The sequence below is a fragment of the Homo sapiens genome, chromosome 4, assembly GCF_000001405.40.
Source record: "Homo sapiens chromosome 4, GRCh38.p14 Primary Assembly".
Taxonomy (NCBI): domain Eukaryota; kingdom Metazoa; phylum Chordata; class Mammalia; order Primates; family Hominidae; genus Homo; species Homo sapiens.
In genome coordinates, this window is record NC_000004.12 from 121,130,491 (window position 1) to 121,143,588 (window position 13,098).

Sequence of the window (13,098 nt, forward strand, 5' to 3'; positions counted from 1 at the left end):
CGTTTGGCAACTTGCTAATTAGTAAGAGGATGACTTTGGACTGGAGAGTTAAATCACATTTGCCTGCTGCTAAATAGGCCTGGGCCTGGCCTCTCAAGGAGTACTTTCTTGGGTGTTCGTTCAGTTTTTATCCCAGTGGGCGTACCTCAGTTGGCAAATTAAATCCACCACAAGAAATTGACATCACAATGACTTTTTCACTAATCTGAAATGCCAAAATGTTTCCATTCCTGGGTATTACTTCAGTATAGGTGAATCAGGAAAACAACAGTTAACAAGTCAGCAGCTGACTTATACTTACGCTTATACTTATACTGAAGTAATATCCAAGAATGATTTGTCTCTTTGATAAAGAGTAACAGAAACAAGATTCAGAAAATTAATGTAAGACAAGGATAATTCTTTGTCAAGAATTATGTTCCAGGGTTGCAAAGGGCTGAACCTGAAAATATTTATTTTCCTAAGGCTCTTTCATCTTCCCATTATACAGAGCTTCAGGTGTATCCAGATACTGGAATAATAATAATTTGAGCTGGAATAAAGTAGCATAATTTTTGGAAGCTGAAACTGGATAATTTTAGCAGTATGTTTGGATTGTTTTCTTCAACTGCATTTTCAGCTTTGCAGTTGCTTTAGGTTTACTTCTAGAAGCATAGATATCCAAGGATCTCACATTTCTTGTTATATGTATATATATATATATGTATATACATATAAATGTATAATTTGAGATCATATTTGTGAGAATATACATATATACACACACATATATATGTATATATGTATACAGAGGATCACGAAGAGGATCTCAAGTTAGTCCTAGCAGAATTCTTATTAAATGGATAAACTTAATACTTCTAAATCTGCTTAATCTTTAGACATCTGTCATGTCACTATAAGATTTAATTGCAATAAAATTTCAATAAATTCCATTTTCATTTTAATTGGCTTGAGAAGTCAGAATTAAGTTTTTCATTAAAATTAATCAAATCCAAGGGAAGGAAAAACACAGATTTAACTATAAATCCATATGTCTGAAATATTTCTGTAAGTATATATGGACACAGCATAGCCATATAGCCATCATCATCCCATCAGGACTTTGTCTTCCTTTTTTTTTTTTTTTTTTTTTTGGTGGTGTGGAGTGGGTGGGTAGGGGGCACTGAGTCTTGCTCACTCTATTTCCCAGGCTGGAGTGCAGTGGCGATCTCAACTTACAGCAACCTCTGCCTCCCTGGGCTCAAGTGATCCTCCCGCCTCAAGCCTCCTGAGTAGCTGGGTTTATAGGTGTGTGCCACGAGCCTGGCTAATTTTTGTATTTATAGTAGAGATGGGGTTTCACCATGCTGGCCAGGCTGGTCTAGAACTCCTGGCCTCAAAGCAATCCACCTGCCTCAGCCTCCCAAAGTGCTGGGATTATAGGCATGAGCCACTGCACCCAGCCCAAGACTTTATCTTTCATAATCAAGTCTTGTGATGCAGGCGCACAATTTCTCATCATCTTAAAGAAATGATCTGTCTAAGGAATAGCTTCCAATTAACCATCTTATTCAGATTGAACCACTTATTTAATTTAATGAGGTATATACACCTCTTCAATTCTACGTTTAGGATCACTGAGGTCAACAATATGTAGTCAAATAGCTAAAGAACTAAGGCCCTGTGGAAGAAGAATGGGAGCAATGTTAAACGTTTACAACTGCAGAAATTTTTACCCCAGGAAACACACACACACACACACACACACACACACACACACACATATGCACTTTAAATCAACATACAATATCCCTGCAGCAAACACTGAGTTGCCTAAATCATAGAATCATTTTTGTGCATCCAACAGCAATATGCTGAAGAGATTTTCAGGGAGTCGTGCATCATCCATCTGCCAAGTCTCATTTCAAGGAAACTGGAAGTTGTATTTGGTTGTATAATAACTGGCTCCTCCAATTTGATCAGGATCTTAGCTGTCAGAAGCCTTTTCCTGTATTCATACCAAAGGAAAACATGACCAGGCACAAATAACAGGGTAGATGATGTGCCTTTGTGGCAGAAACAAGCCTCAGTATAAACAAAGAAGAGGGTCCTCAGCCACGCTCCCTCGTTGCCTGTTGTCTCTCTCTGTTAGTGTGTACTTCTACGGATGGACTTTCTTTACTGAGGATAAACCTATGGAAAACAGTAGGAAAATGTTTTAGATTAAAAATTAACATTTCATTTCTCTTCTTCTGGCTTAAGGCTGACATAAAGTTCCAGGATGGCAAAAAAAAAAAAAAGTTATGTTATATTCATAAGCTCCCCACAAGTTTACACTGAGAAATCAAGAAGCGGGAGATGGAGGGTTATTATTTTAAGCATTGACATATGCTTACCATTTTGTGAAATAAGTTGTGGCCTCGTTCTAATTATGCCTGAGGAGGAATGTTCTATACTAATTCTCACTCTTGCTGGCATTTTGGCTTGGGCATGTGAAAGTAAGTCATATATATGACTTAGGTTAGGTTCAGTACTTACCCCAGAGAAAGAAAACTTGCCAAATATGATCTTTTAATATATGGTACTGGGTACATTATTGCCAAAGCTATGGAAAATATCCTATAGAAAGACTTGTTGGTGTATCATGAAGACCAATATGAAAAATCTGGAATATTTTGATTGAGTACTATTTGATAATGAATACTACATGAAAGACAAAGTCAAATAAGTTTACTCATGGCAACAGGAAAAAATAATCATAGAAATGCCAAGAAACAAAGAGTTATCCTTATCCCTGATAACTTAAAAATATGCTGAATGTTTTGTACTTGTTGTCCTCATTTGGTATACCAAAGATGTGCTAAACTAACATTTTGGTAACAGAAAAAGCAAATAGGAAGATAATAAGTTACTTTTCCAGGCTGAAAAATTATGTTGCTGAGGACTGTGGTCACTATGTTAAAAAGGTATCTAATATGTTGAGAACATAAATTTGAACTCAGAAGCATAAATTAATTGATCTAACCAATCTGAAGTTAACATTAAATAAATCCACTAATGATACCTCTCCCTAGGTATCTTAAATATTTTAAAATTAACTCCTTTTCAATTTGTACAGTGCTCTTGTGAAACAGGCATAGAATTAAAGATCAATAGCCTGATATTTTAGATGGAGAGAGGCTGTGGCCAATGAGATAATCCACGGCAGAATGGAAATCTGAACAAAAACAAAGATAGGTCTTTAGGTTCTTGAAGGGAAGGCAGAATTTCCCTAAATGTACAGTGAAGGTGGGAGGAGGGCCTTAATCCACTGTAACTGGTGTGTGTGTAAGAACAGGAAAATTTGGACACAGATGGAAGATGGTCATGTGAAGACCGAGGCAGAGATTGCAGTGATGCTGCCACTAGCTAAGGAATACCTGGAGCTACTAGATGCTGAAAGAGGCAAGGAAGTCTCCTCCCCAGAGGATTTGGAAGGAGCTTGGCCCTGCCAACATCTTGATTTTTGGATATCTAACCTCCAGAGCTATGAAAAAAAAAGTTTTTCTATTTTAAGCCACCCAGCTTGTGGTATTTTGTTATGGCAATCCTAGGAGACAAATCCAGTCAGTATTTAATTGGTTAGTATTAGACATTAGTAAAAGCTAATCATAATATTTAGGCTTTGATCTTCTATATTGTAAAGAAGTAATTTCACAACACAGTTTCACATCCCTACATTTTATGCCTTTCTAGATACATTAATAATCCATCTCTGGCTCATTAGACAAAGCATAACTCTGTACCCTATGAAAAATTTGGAATGTACAGAAGTGACTGGCATGCAATGCAATCAGAAACCATAGCTTTTTGACATTTCAGAAAGGAAGAAACAAACAACATGTTTTTCAAGGTTAAACTAACTCTGTTATGACATAATTGTTCTATAAACATGGAAGTCATTTTGCATCTCGTTCTGATAACAGATGAAACAAGATGAAAATGTTCTTTGTAAAATCACGTTTCTAAACAAAAGCTGTAACTCATTAATATCTGTGGACTTCAATGTATTAAAAACATCATTATTTAATGCTATACAGAGAGAAAGCCAAGTCTCAAATGACTTGAAAACATTCGAAACCCTTCATTTAAAATCTTTAGTTTTTGAAAGAAGGGTTGATTTTCAATGTGTCTCCAAAGCATTCTGAAATAACCACAGACAGTAACTGAGAGCAAAGCTGGAAATTAGTTGACTGGAAGTCTGTGCACCATGGTACTCAGCACCTACCACCCTCAGTCCCTAGTCAGGAAGCCCTTCACTGATGTCCCCATCTTATAGAGGACTCTGCTCTAGCCCTCCTCCAGCCACACCCTTCCTCACAGTGTGAGCGACGTTTCCTCCAGAACAAGCTCCTCCTGGCACCCAAATGCACATCCCCGAAGTCCCTGCCCAGGTGATTCTGGGCCTGCTTCCAAGATTCATGTGGTCCTCTTCCCAGCCTGAAGGCTGTCGAAAGAGTGTTGTGTGTAGAGTGGTGAGGGGTGTATGGACAAGGGTGGGATCTCCCAGCTGGGCTGTCTTCAAGTCTGCACTCAAGAGTCCTTATGATGGGAAGGTGGGGAGAGAAGGTCGAGGGTCCCAGGCAGGAGGCCAGGGCTTAGGTCTCCCTGTGCCACCATGTCCTGTCACAGACTGGTTTTGAAACTGAGCATTGTAAATTGTACTTTGGTTTTCCATGTATGTTTATCAAGGTAGGAGGATAGATTATACTTTAACAGTTTCTATGCTTGATTCATGAGATTTACACAGATAGGATGTAGCTCTCCACTTATTCTTGCTCCAGGCCCCAGAAATGTTAGAGGAGGATTTAGTGGTATCATTGAAATTTAATCACTCATTATCTGCCATACCTTTTCAAATGCATGAAGTTACTTCTTCTTCTTTTTTTTTATTTTTTTTTATTTTTGAGATAGAGTCATTTTCTGTCACCCAGGCTTGAGCGCAGTGGCGTGATCTCACCTCACCGCAACCTTGGCCTCCTGGGCTCATGTGATCCTCCTACCTTAGTCTCCCAAGTAGCTGGGACTACAGGCACATGCCACTAGACTTGGTTAATTTTTGTATTTTTTTGTAGAGACAGGGTTTCACCATGTTGCCCAGGCTGGGCTTGAACTCCTAGGCTCAAGCAATCTGCCCACGTTGGCCTCACAAAGCGCTGGGATTATAGGCATGAGCCACCACTCCTGGCCTTAAACTAGTGATTTCTTAATAGTCAATACCACAAAATTATTTTATGAGAATTCTGAGCAATTCAGTTACACCAACAGATTAAAAGGACCGTTTTAATTAAATGAACCCCAAACCAGCAAGAACCACTACTGAAATTAAATAATGACACATCCATCATTTATGACAAGAGTGATGTCAGAGTTCTGCCAATTCTTATGACATGGCTTAAGCTATGAAATACATCAACTGTGGAAGCTAGTAAAGGAGGCATAGGAATCCCAAACAGGTAGACTTTTGAGTGAGGAATTTTTTGGTGGTGCCCTAACCATGATCAGCCCTCTTCTCTGCTGCTGGCCAGCCATAGTTAGTTGCAGAGCTGTGTTAGTATGGAAAAGGATAGGTTTCAAATGACAACATATCCTGGTCAGGTTCCACCAGGGCTGTCCATGCACAGGTTAGTTCATAACATATTTATTACACACTTAATCTTACATAGTACCGTGCCTTTTACTTGTGATATTCTAAATGTCAAATGAGTAGCATGCTGTGAGTTCACACAAAGATGAGATTATTGAGGGTTAAATGCTAGTCATATTATTATCTATGTTAGAGTCCCCTTCTCATTTTTGTATCTATACTTTCAGAAAATTTCAATAAAGTGAGAGAGGTACAGTAAGAGGGGCACTGTACTATATAATTCAAACCATATGTTTTAGAATCCTATATATCAAATAATCTAATCCCCTTGCTAAATTTTATTAACTGTGTGATTTAGGCGTGTTACTTAAATTCTCTAAGCCTCAGTTTCCTCATGTGTTAAATAGTGCAAAACAAAACCTATTTCATAGCTTTGTTGTGAAGATTGAAATAATGCTTTAAAAACAGGCCGGGTGTAGTGGCTCACACCTGAAATTTCAGCACTTTGGGAGCCAGAGGCAGGAGGATCACTTGAGGCCAGGAGTTCGAGACCAGCCTGGCAACAGACTGGAGGTGGAGCAAGACACCATCTGAACAAAAAATAAAAATAAAAATTAGCTGGGCATGGTGGTTCATGCCTGTAGCCCTATTCATGAGGCTGAGGTGGGATGATTTCTTGAGCCCAGGAGTTTAAGGGTACAGTGAGCTATGATCACACCAGTGCACTACTCCAGCCTGGGTGACAGAGTAAGACTGTCTCCGAAAAAAAAAAAAAAAAAAAAAGCTTAGGTTGGTACATCATGGAGATTTTTTTGTTGTAGTTTTACATCTGTAGACACTGTTACATGGTATGTTTATACATCACAAAGCTCACTACATTTTTCCTAGCTAGACAAAAATCAGTAAGTCTCATACACTGACTACAACATTTCATTATTGCATATTCTATTTAGTTTCTGAATGTCATCACAATTCATTTCTATTTTATGTAATCATTAGCTTGTGTAATATTGGTCCAGCAAGAATCTAATAATGATATATAAATGACCTTATGGTATTACTAAATTCTGTACTAAGTAATTTTATTTTCCAGTTATTAAACTCCAATTCAGAAAGAAAATATCTTTAATAGTCATTCCAGAGCAATATAAAATGGAAAATTATAATTGGGTAGCAATTCTGTTATTATACCATAATAGATTTTAAAATTGCATATATTATGCAACACACATTCCGGTTAATGGTATGCCTTTCTAATAAAACAACTCCATTATTGTTGGAACTCAAGAACTTCATTAAAACCACTGGCTATATTTGTAGTAGAAAGCAAAGAAAAAAGAGAGTCCTATAGTGTTTTGATAAATACCTGGATATTTTATTATGGAATTCTCACATTTCATATTTCTTTTCTATGATGCTGTTGTAATCTATGGCCTTTGTCACTCCCATTGCTGCTGTGTACAGCTGTCCAGATTGCGTATTGTACTTCAGCAGGCTCCATTCACATAGAGTACCATGATGAGCCCCTCAGACTTGTAAAGTTCACAACCTGCAAAACTACATGTGGTGTCCCTGACTCCCTATTTACACTCCATAACAGACTCCTTGTATTAAAAACTAGATTTCTGTGATCTCAGCTCTGACTTCAAACGAGATCAAATTTCAAGAATGGCCTGAAATTAGACTACATAGCTCATCTTCAGCATTTTTAGATAGATTCAAATCTTTGGAAATTAACAAGTTAGAGTCCCAGGTGTGTGTCATATGAGACTTTAAACATGTAGCAGACATTTCTAACTTTTGATTATGTATACTTGATGAGAATAGAAGTGGGATTTTGATTATAGCTCAGTTTATACAGCCCGCTTCTGGGTGGCCTCACAAGACCATAGAAACAAGCAGTAGAAAGTATAGCAGATTCTAGAAAGAAAACAGAAAATGTTAAATCAATAAAAAATAAGATTTAAAAAAGTACTCTTAGTTGTGAGTACTTCATAAGTGACTTTTAGTTTTCCCCAGCATACTTTGAGGTGGGCGTTGTGGGCAACCCTGGCCTAAACTAAGAGCCCTGCCTTGGAGTCTGACATTTAGTCATAAGGGAACACAGTTCCGAGCCTTTGGTTTCCTCTGTCTGTCTGCCAGTGACATTTAAAACATCTGTCTAGCAAACTCAACCTGGAATAGTGGGTGTGCATCTGTGCTTTGTAGTACAATTGCAGAGCTTTGTTGTTGTTATAATACAGCTCTGCTTACAGTTTTCATTTCTAACCCCAGATGGAATTCTGACTCTGAGACTGAAAAAGGAACAGAAGCCAGAATTGAGGTTCATGCATTTCTGCATTCGCACATTTTCTTTGTCTTAAGGAGTTCAATTTAACCCCAGGTGCATCAAATTAAAGTTATGTATGTAACACAACTTTATAGTAAGTCCTCCCCAAGTACGAATGAATGTATGTTGAGTAAACATCCCCAAAAGATCCCATTAAGATGTAAACATGAAAGAATGCTCAATACAGCTGTGGTCTCACCATTTGCCTTGTGTTGTACATCTGGCGGAAGCTGGTCAAGAGCATACCACTGATAGTCTGGCTGTGTGGAACAATACAACATTATTATAGCAATATGGACTTCAAATATAGTGGCATGTCAAAAATACAATTAGGCTATGTGGCTTTTATTAAGCAGGCAACACAAAAGTAATTTCTATCCAAACCTATTGCCAACCTCACTCATCCTGCTTACCCCCCATCACTGCCATCATCTCTCCCTACCCCCTCTTAAATCCACTCTGTGTTTGGCCAGAATTTCTACCACTTTGAGGTTGTGACATATTTTCTTTCTTTTTTTGAAACAGATGTGTTTTGAATATCTGCAGAAGTATAAACACTTGTAAAACTTACTACAGCCCATCAATAAAACAAAGCAACTTAGCATCAACAAATACTCTTTTTGAGACCCTCACACTAGAGGCAATGAGAAGGCCAGGAAAAAAAGTTTAATACAAGTTTTCTAATGGTTTAAGGAAGAAATTTAAGCTATTAAATGGGGATTTGGCATTGACAGAAGTTCAGGATGGTGAAGCAGGGCAAATCTTTCCCTTTTTGCTGTTGTGAAGAACCGATCCAGCAGAACCTATCCTCTAAATTGCTCATATAGTTTAGTCTACAGAGACAAGATTTTTCTCTTGGGATTTTCTCCTAGGTTTACACCAGTTAAGAACAGCTAGATATTGAATGTCGAACAAATTGCATTGAATAAATAGTAAACCCATAGGCCTGAATCATCAAGATATCTCCAAGGCCAGCACCTCTGTATTTAACGCTTAGGAATGGAGCAATCTCAGCTTTACCTGCCCACAAAGCAGGTCTGTCTTTCTGCTCTGAATGCTCACCCCTGCCTCCTACTTCTCCACAAGACACAGAGAATATAGATTTTTTTGTTGTTCTGTAATTCAATTATCTCCTAAAAATAACTTGAGGAAAATTTTTCTAACATGAGCCAACAGAGAGCATTTACAAGGCTGCCAGACCACTGAAAGTAGCCCAGAAAGTTCAATTACTCAATAAGACACTGAGAAATGCTGCTTTTAGTGCAGTTTGACCCCACTGTACCCCTACTCTAGACACCTAGGCCCTTGGCTCCTCTGGCTTATGAAAAAGCTAGAAGAGGAAATGAGATCACCTCTGTTTTTTATCTTCTCGTTTATTTTTAGATGTCTCAAATAACACATAGGATAAGTGACGTGAGCCTCAGTTTTATATTCCAGGAGAGTTGCCAAGAGAAGGTAAATATCCTGTAATGTTACCAACACTATAGCATGTGACTTAATTCAGCCTTCGATATAGACAAGAAACATGAAATATTATTTTTAAATTAACTTTGAGGATTTGGTTGTAAACTCTACTGTTATGCTGAGATTTTTTTCATCTGACTACTGCTTGAAAATGTAGGCCATTCTGGCCAGGCGCAGTGGCTCATGCCTGTAATCTCAGCACTTTGGGAGGCCAAGGTGGGCGGATCATGAGGTCAGGAGTTTGAGACCAGCCTGGGCAATATGGTGAAACCCCATCTCCGCTAAAATTACAAAAATTAGCCACGTGTGGTGGTGTGTGCCTGTAGTCCCAGCCAGTCGGGAGGCTGAGGCAGGAGAATTGCCTGAACCCAGGAGGTACAGGTTGCAGTGAGCCAAGATCGCACCACTGCACTACAGCCTGGATGACAGAGCGAGATGCCTTCTCAAAAAAAAAGAAAAAAGAAAAAAAGAAAGAAAATGTAGGCCATTCTACATGGCTTGGAGTCCTTTTTCAAATATAGGCCTTTATTTGGTGACAATTTTATGTGACCTGGACTGCCTTGCCTTTTTTAATTGACATGGACTGTTTGATGAGCTATAGTAGGTGAATTCCTTCCTTCTTTCCATAAAGAAATATTTGACTGAAACAATAATTTGTACTCCTAGGTAAATGTGAATGACTGATTGGTTTTATAGTTAACCTTTCATAAGAATATTTCTCCAATCCCCCAACCTGTAGAAGCCAACTCCTATAGGTTAATTCACTCCTACAGTAAATTTCTCTTTATGTTTCTCACAATCTGAGTTGACTTCTACATTCTTGAAAAAAAAATTTAATGTTATTGGTAAAGACTGAAAAGTAAGCAAACAGGTAAAGAAAAAAAAGGAAAAGGGGGAGGGAGAGCAGACAGAACTAGCAACCCGCAATAACATGAAAAGACTCAATTCTTAGCGGTGTGCTGTGTCATACCAGGGTCAAATAAGAGATGCTCATTAAATCCTCACATTCCTTCAGCCACCCAAAGAGTCATTATCTCCTCCCTTGGGAAAAGGGTTTTGAGTCACACTCGAACAAAAGTATGAGAACTTTCAGGAAGCCAAGAGAATCATGTTCTCTGTAAGCATTCTGGTAGGAAAATCCCAGTTAAAAATCTTAGATTTTTTCATCATGAGAAACACAATTAATCAAACCTAAAGGGTAGCGGGATTTGTCTGGGTAAATCCAAAATGCAGAAAATGCATATTTTTTTCCTGGATAAATTTCTATCTATGTAGGCAAAATAAAAAGTAGAGGAGGGTAGGTGGAATACTGCTATTGAGAAGGAAAAAAAGGGTGCTTTGGGCCTCACTAATTCAGGTTGACTGTCCAAATCAATTCCCCTCACAAATAATTGCTCAACTCTGCATTTCATTTTGTCTGGGAAGACACAGCCATGGAGAACAACTTAAGTGGGTCACTTTTTCTTGGATCCTTTAAGAAAATCCTTTCAATTGGAAAATGTCAAAATCTATTTTGCACATATGTAGCAATATCCATAGTAGTTCAATATAAATTTACAACCGAACAAAAGCATCTCATTTTTCTTGTTTTGCCATATCCACTTTCCTTTATACATAAATACACTTTATACAGAAAATGTCCTTTGGGTAGAATGAAGTATGCCAATTGAAAATGTTATATGTTGTTCAAGGAATTATTCCCAATTTAATACCTTTCAGTTAATTTATTCGTATCTATGTGTCCTATGGATTCAGTGTCCCAAAGATAATTCTAGTGTACATTGACCACTCCAACTTTGCAAGTTAGAGGCTGAGAGAAAACAGAGGCTCTTGCTGTAGATAATATAATGTGCTGAAATTCCAGAGATGCACATAATTTCTACCAAAACAGTATACTAAGCACTTTTTCAAATGCACTCTTACTTACTGGGTGCTCCCGTTGCTTCTGCACAGCTCCAGGGCCTGTTGGTACCCATGGATCTTGCAGGTGGAAAACCAAGCCGCAGTTACAGGGTGGGCAATACATCTGAGGAGAACAAAACTGTGGGGTCACTACCAGTGGGAGAGACTGAGGAGTTGCAGTGACATTGCTTTATACAAAAGGTTTGGTTTCAATCTTAAGGTTCCACTTAATCTGGCATAATTATAACTCAAAATAGTAAACATGTCAATAGACTCAGGACCAATACAAACGAGGCTCACAGGTCAAGTTTTACCTAAGGTGAAACTATAATCATTTCCCCATTTTGAAGAAATTAGACACACTTGAAAAGTATATAGAGTTAACTTTATGTTTTTGAGTTATCTTTATTGAGGGCCCTCAATGAAGAAAATCTATTCATTGAGTCATAAAATAGGTTTTCTTAAATTGTAGCCAGGGAAAACTAAAATCCAGAAAGGAAATTAGGAATTAGGACAAATAATATTCATTATTTAAGGCTATTAGAGAACCCATGGGATAGAATGCTTCAGTGCTCAAGAAGGCATGTTATTTTTTCAAAAGAGGCAGTATTTGATTTAGTTTTCTACTGTTAATTGTGTCAGCAACTGCATGAAATACCAATGAAATCTATTTCCAGGTGCTTGTGGGTCTAAGGAGCACTAAGACTTGTGCTACTGGTAACATGCTCTATAAAGCATATGCTTTCTATGAGTGTTAGGGTTGAAAGGCCTTGGTGGTGCCTAAGCACTGTCTATCCGTTGATGGTGTAGTCAGTAATGAAAAGCATGGGTTGTTGTAGGTCACCTGTAGCAGAGCTTGAACATGTCTTTAATTGGGACAATGAGAAATGCTGTACATGGGAATAAATGTATGCGTGAAAATTAGATCAACATACCTGTTTTAATTGCTTTTCTAGTTTTTCTTTCTCCATCTGACAAGCTTTTATCTAAAGACAAAACAAAGGCATTTGTTAATCAAGACAAGTTAAAATCATTAATTCCCAAGCCACTCTTGACCTACTCAAGTGTCAGGCATTGACAGCAGTAATACCAACAAAAATAGCCACAAGTTGGTTTTTGCAGACATGCATTGATTCTTAAAATTTCCAGTTGCAGTTTGAAAAATGTGATAGTTTTAAATTGCTATTCCAGTTTTTTGAGGCCATTACAATTCTGTTTTAGGTAGATCTATTTAGATACAGATATAGAAACAATTTCCATTGCTTACTGAATGACATTGGAATTGTCAACCTGACATTCAAAGGCTTCCACAATAAACGTTAGAAGTTATATATGCACTTAATCCATGTCAGAAACTTATCTAAATTTTTTACATGCAATAACTCACTGAATTCTCCCAATCCCTCTATGTGATACTTAATACTATCTCAATTTTATAGATGAGAACACTAAGACATAAGATTCTGAGTAACTTGTTCAAAGTCACACTGCTATATCCCACAGCTTCTCACTACTTAAGGCCCAGCCTCATCTAGATGAATCACCTACCCTGGGTTCCCTTAACTTAAGACACATTTAGAGAAAGCTGGCTTTTCCTTGACTGTTCATTCACATCATTGTCATTCCTACACTCCATGTCCCACATTCCCATAAGGGATGGTCAAATATCCCCTTCTGAATGATACCTTTCCAAGTCCCACTTATCAGAATTATTCTGTCCTCTTATGTAGTGTTGTATATTTACTGTGTGATTTTTTAGACCAATGTGTACTATTTACAGGCAATTCTTGCTGCTTGT

The 13,098-nt window shown here is 37.9% G+C and overlaps 1 protein-coding gene across 8 annotated transcripts in view; it reads right to left on the bottom strand.

The window, feature by feature from the left end:
• Window positions 1-917: 917 nt before the first annotated feature.
• TNIP3 (TNFAIP3 interacting protein 3) overlaps window positions 918-13,098 on the bottom strand; it is a 96,076-nt gene continuing 83,895 nt past the window's right edge. For 3 of the 8 annotated variants that reach the window (XM_047416182.1, XM_011532256.3, NM_024873.6), the window contains 4 exons: window positions 12,236-12,286; window positions 11,326-11,424; window positions 8,134-8,194; window positions 918-2,172 (listed from right to left, as the gene is read on the bottom strand). In XM_047416182.1, coding sequence (XP_047272138.1) covers window positions 2,141-2,172; window positions 8,134-8,194; window positions 11,326-11,424; window positions 12,236-12,286 — 243 coding nt within the window. In that variant the 3' untranslated portion in view covers window positions 918-2,140. Of the gene's footprint in view, window positions 2,173-5,287; window positions 6,196-8,133; window positions 8,195-11,325; window positions 11,425-12,235; window positions 12,287-13,098 lie in introns of those variants that run through there. The other 5 variants (NM_001244764.2, XM_011532257.4, NM_001128843.2 and 2 more) reach the window with 3 other exon arrangements.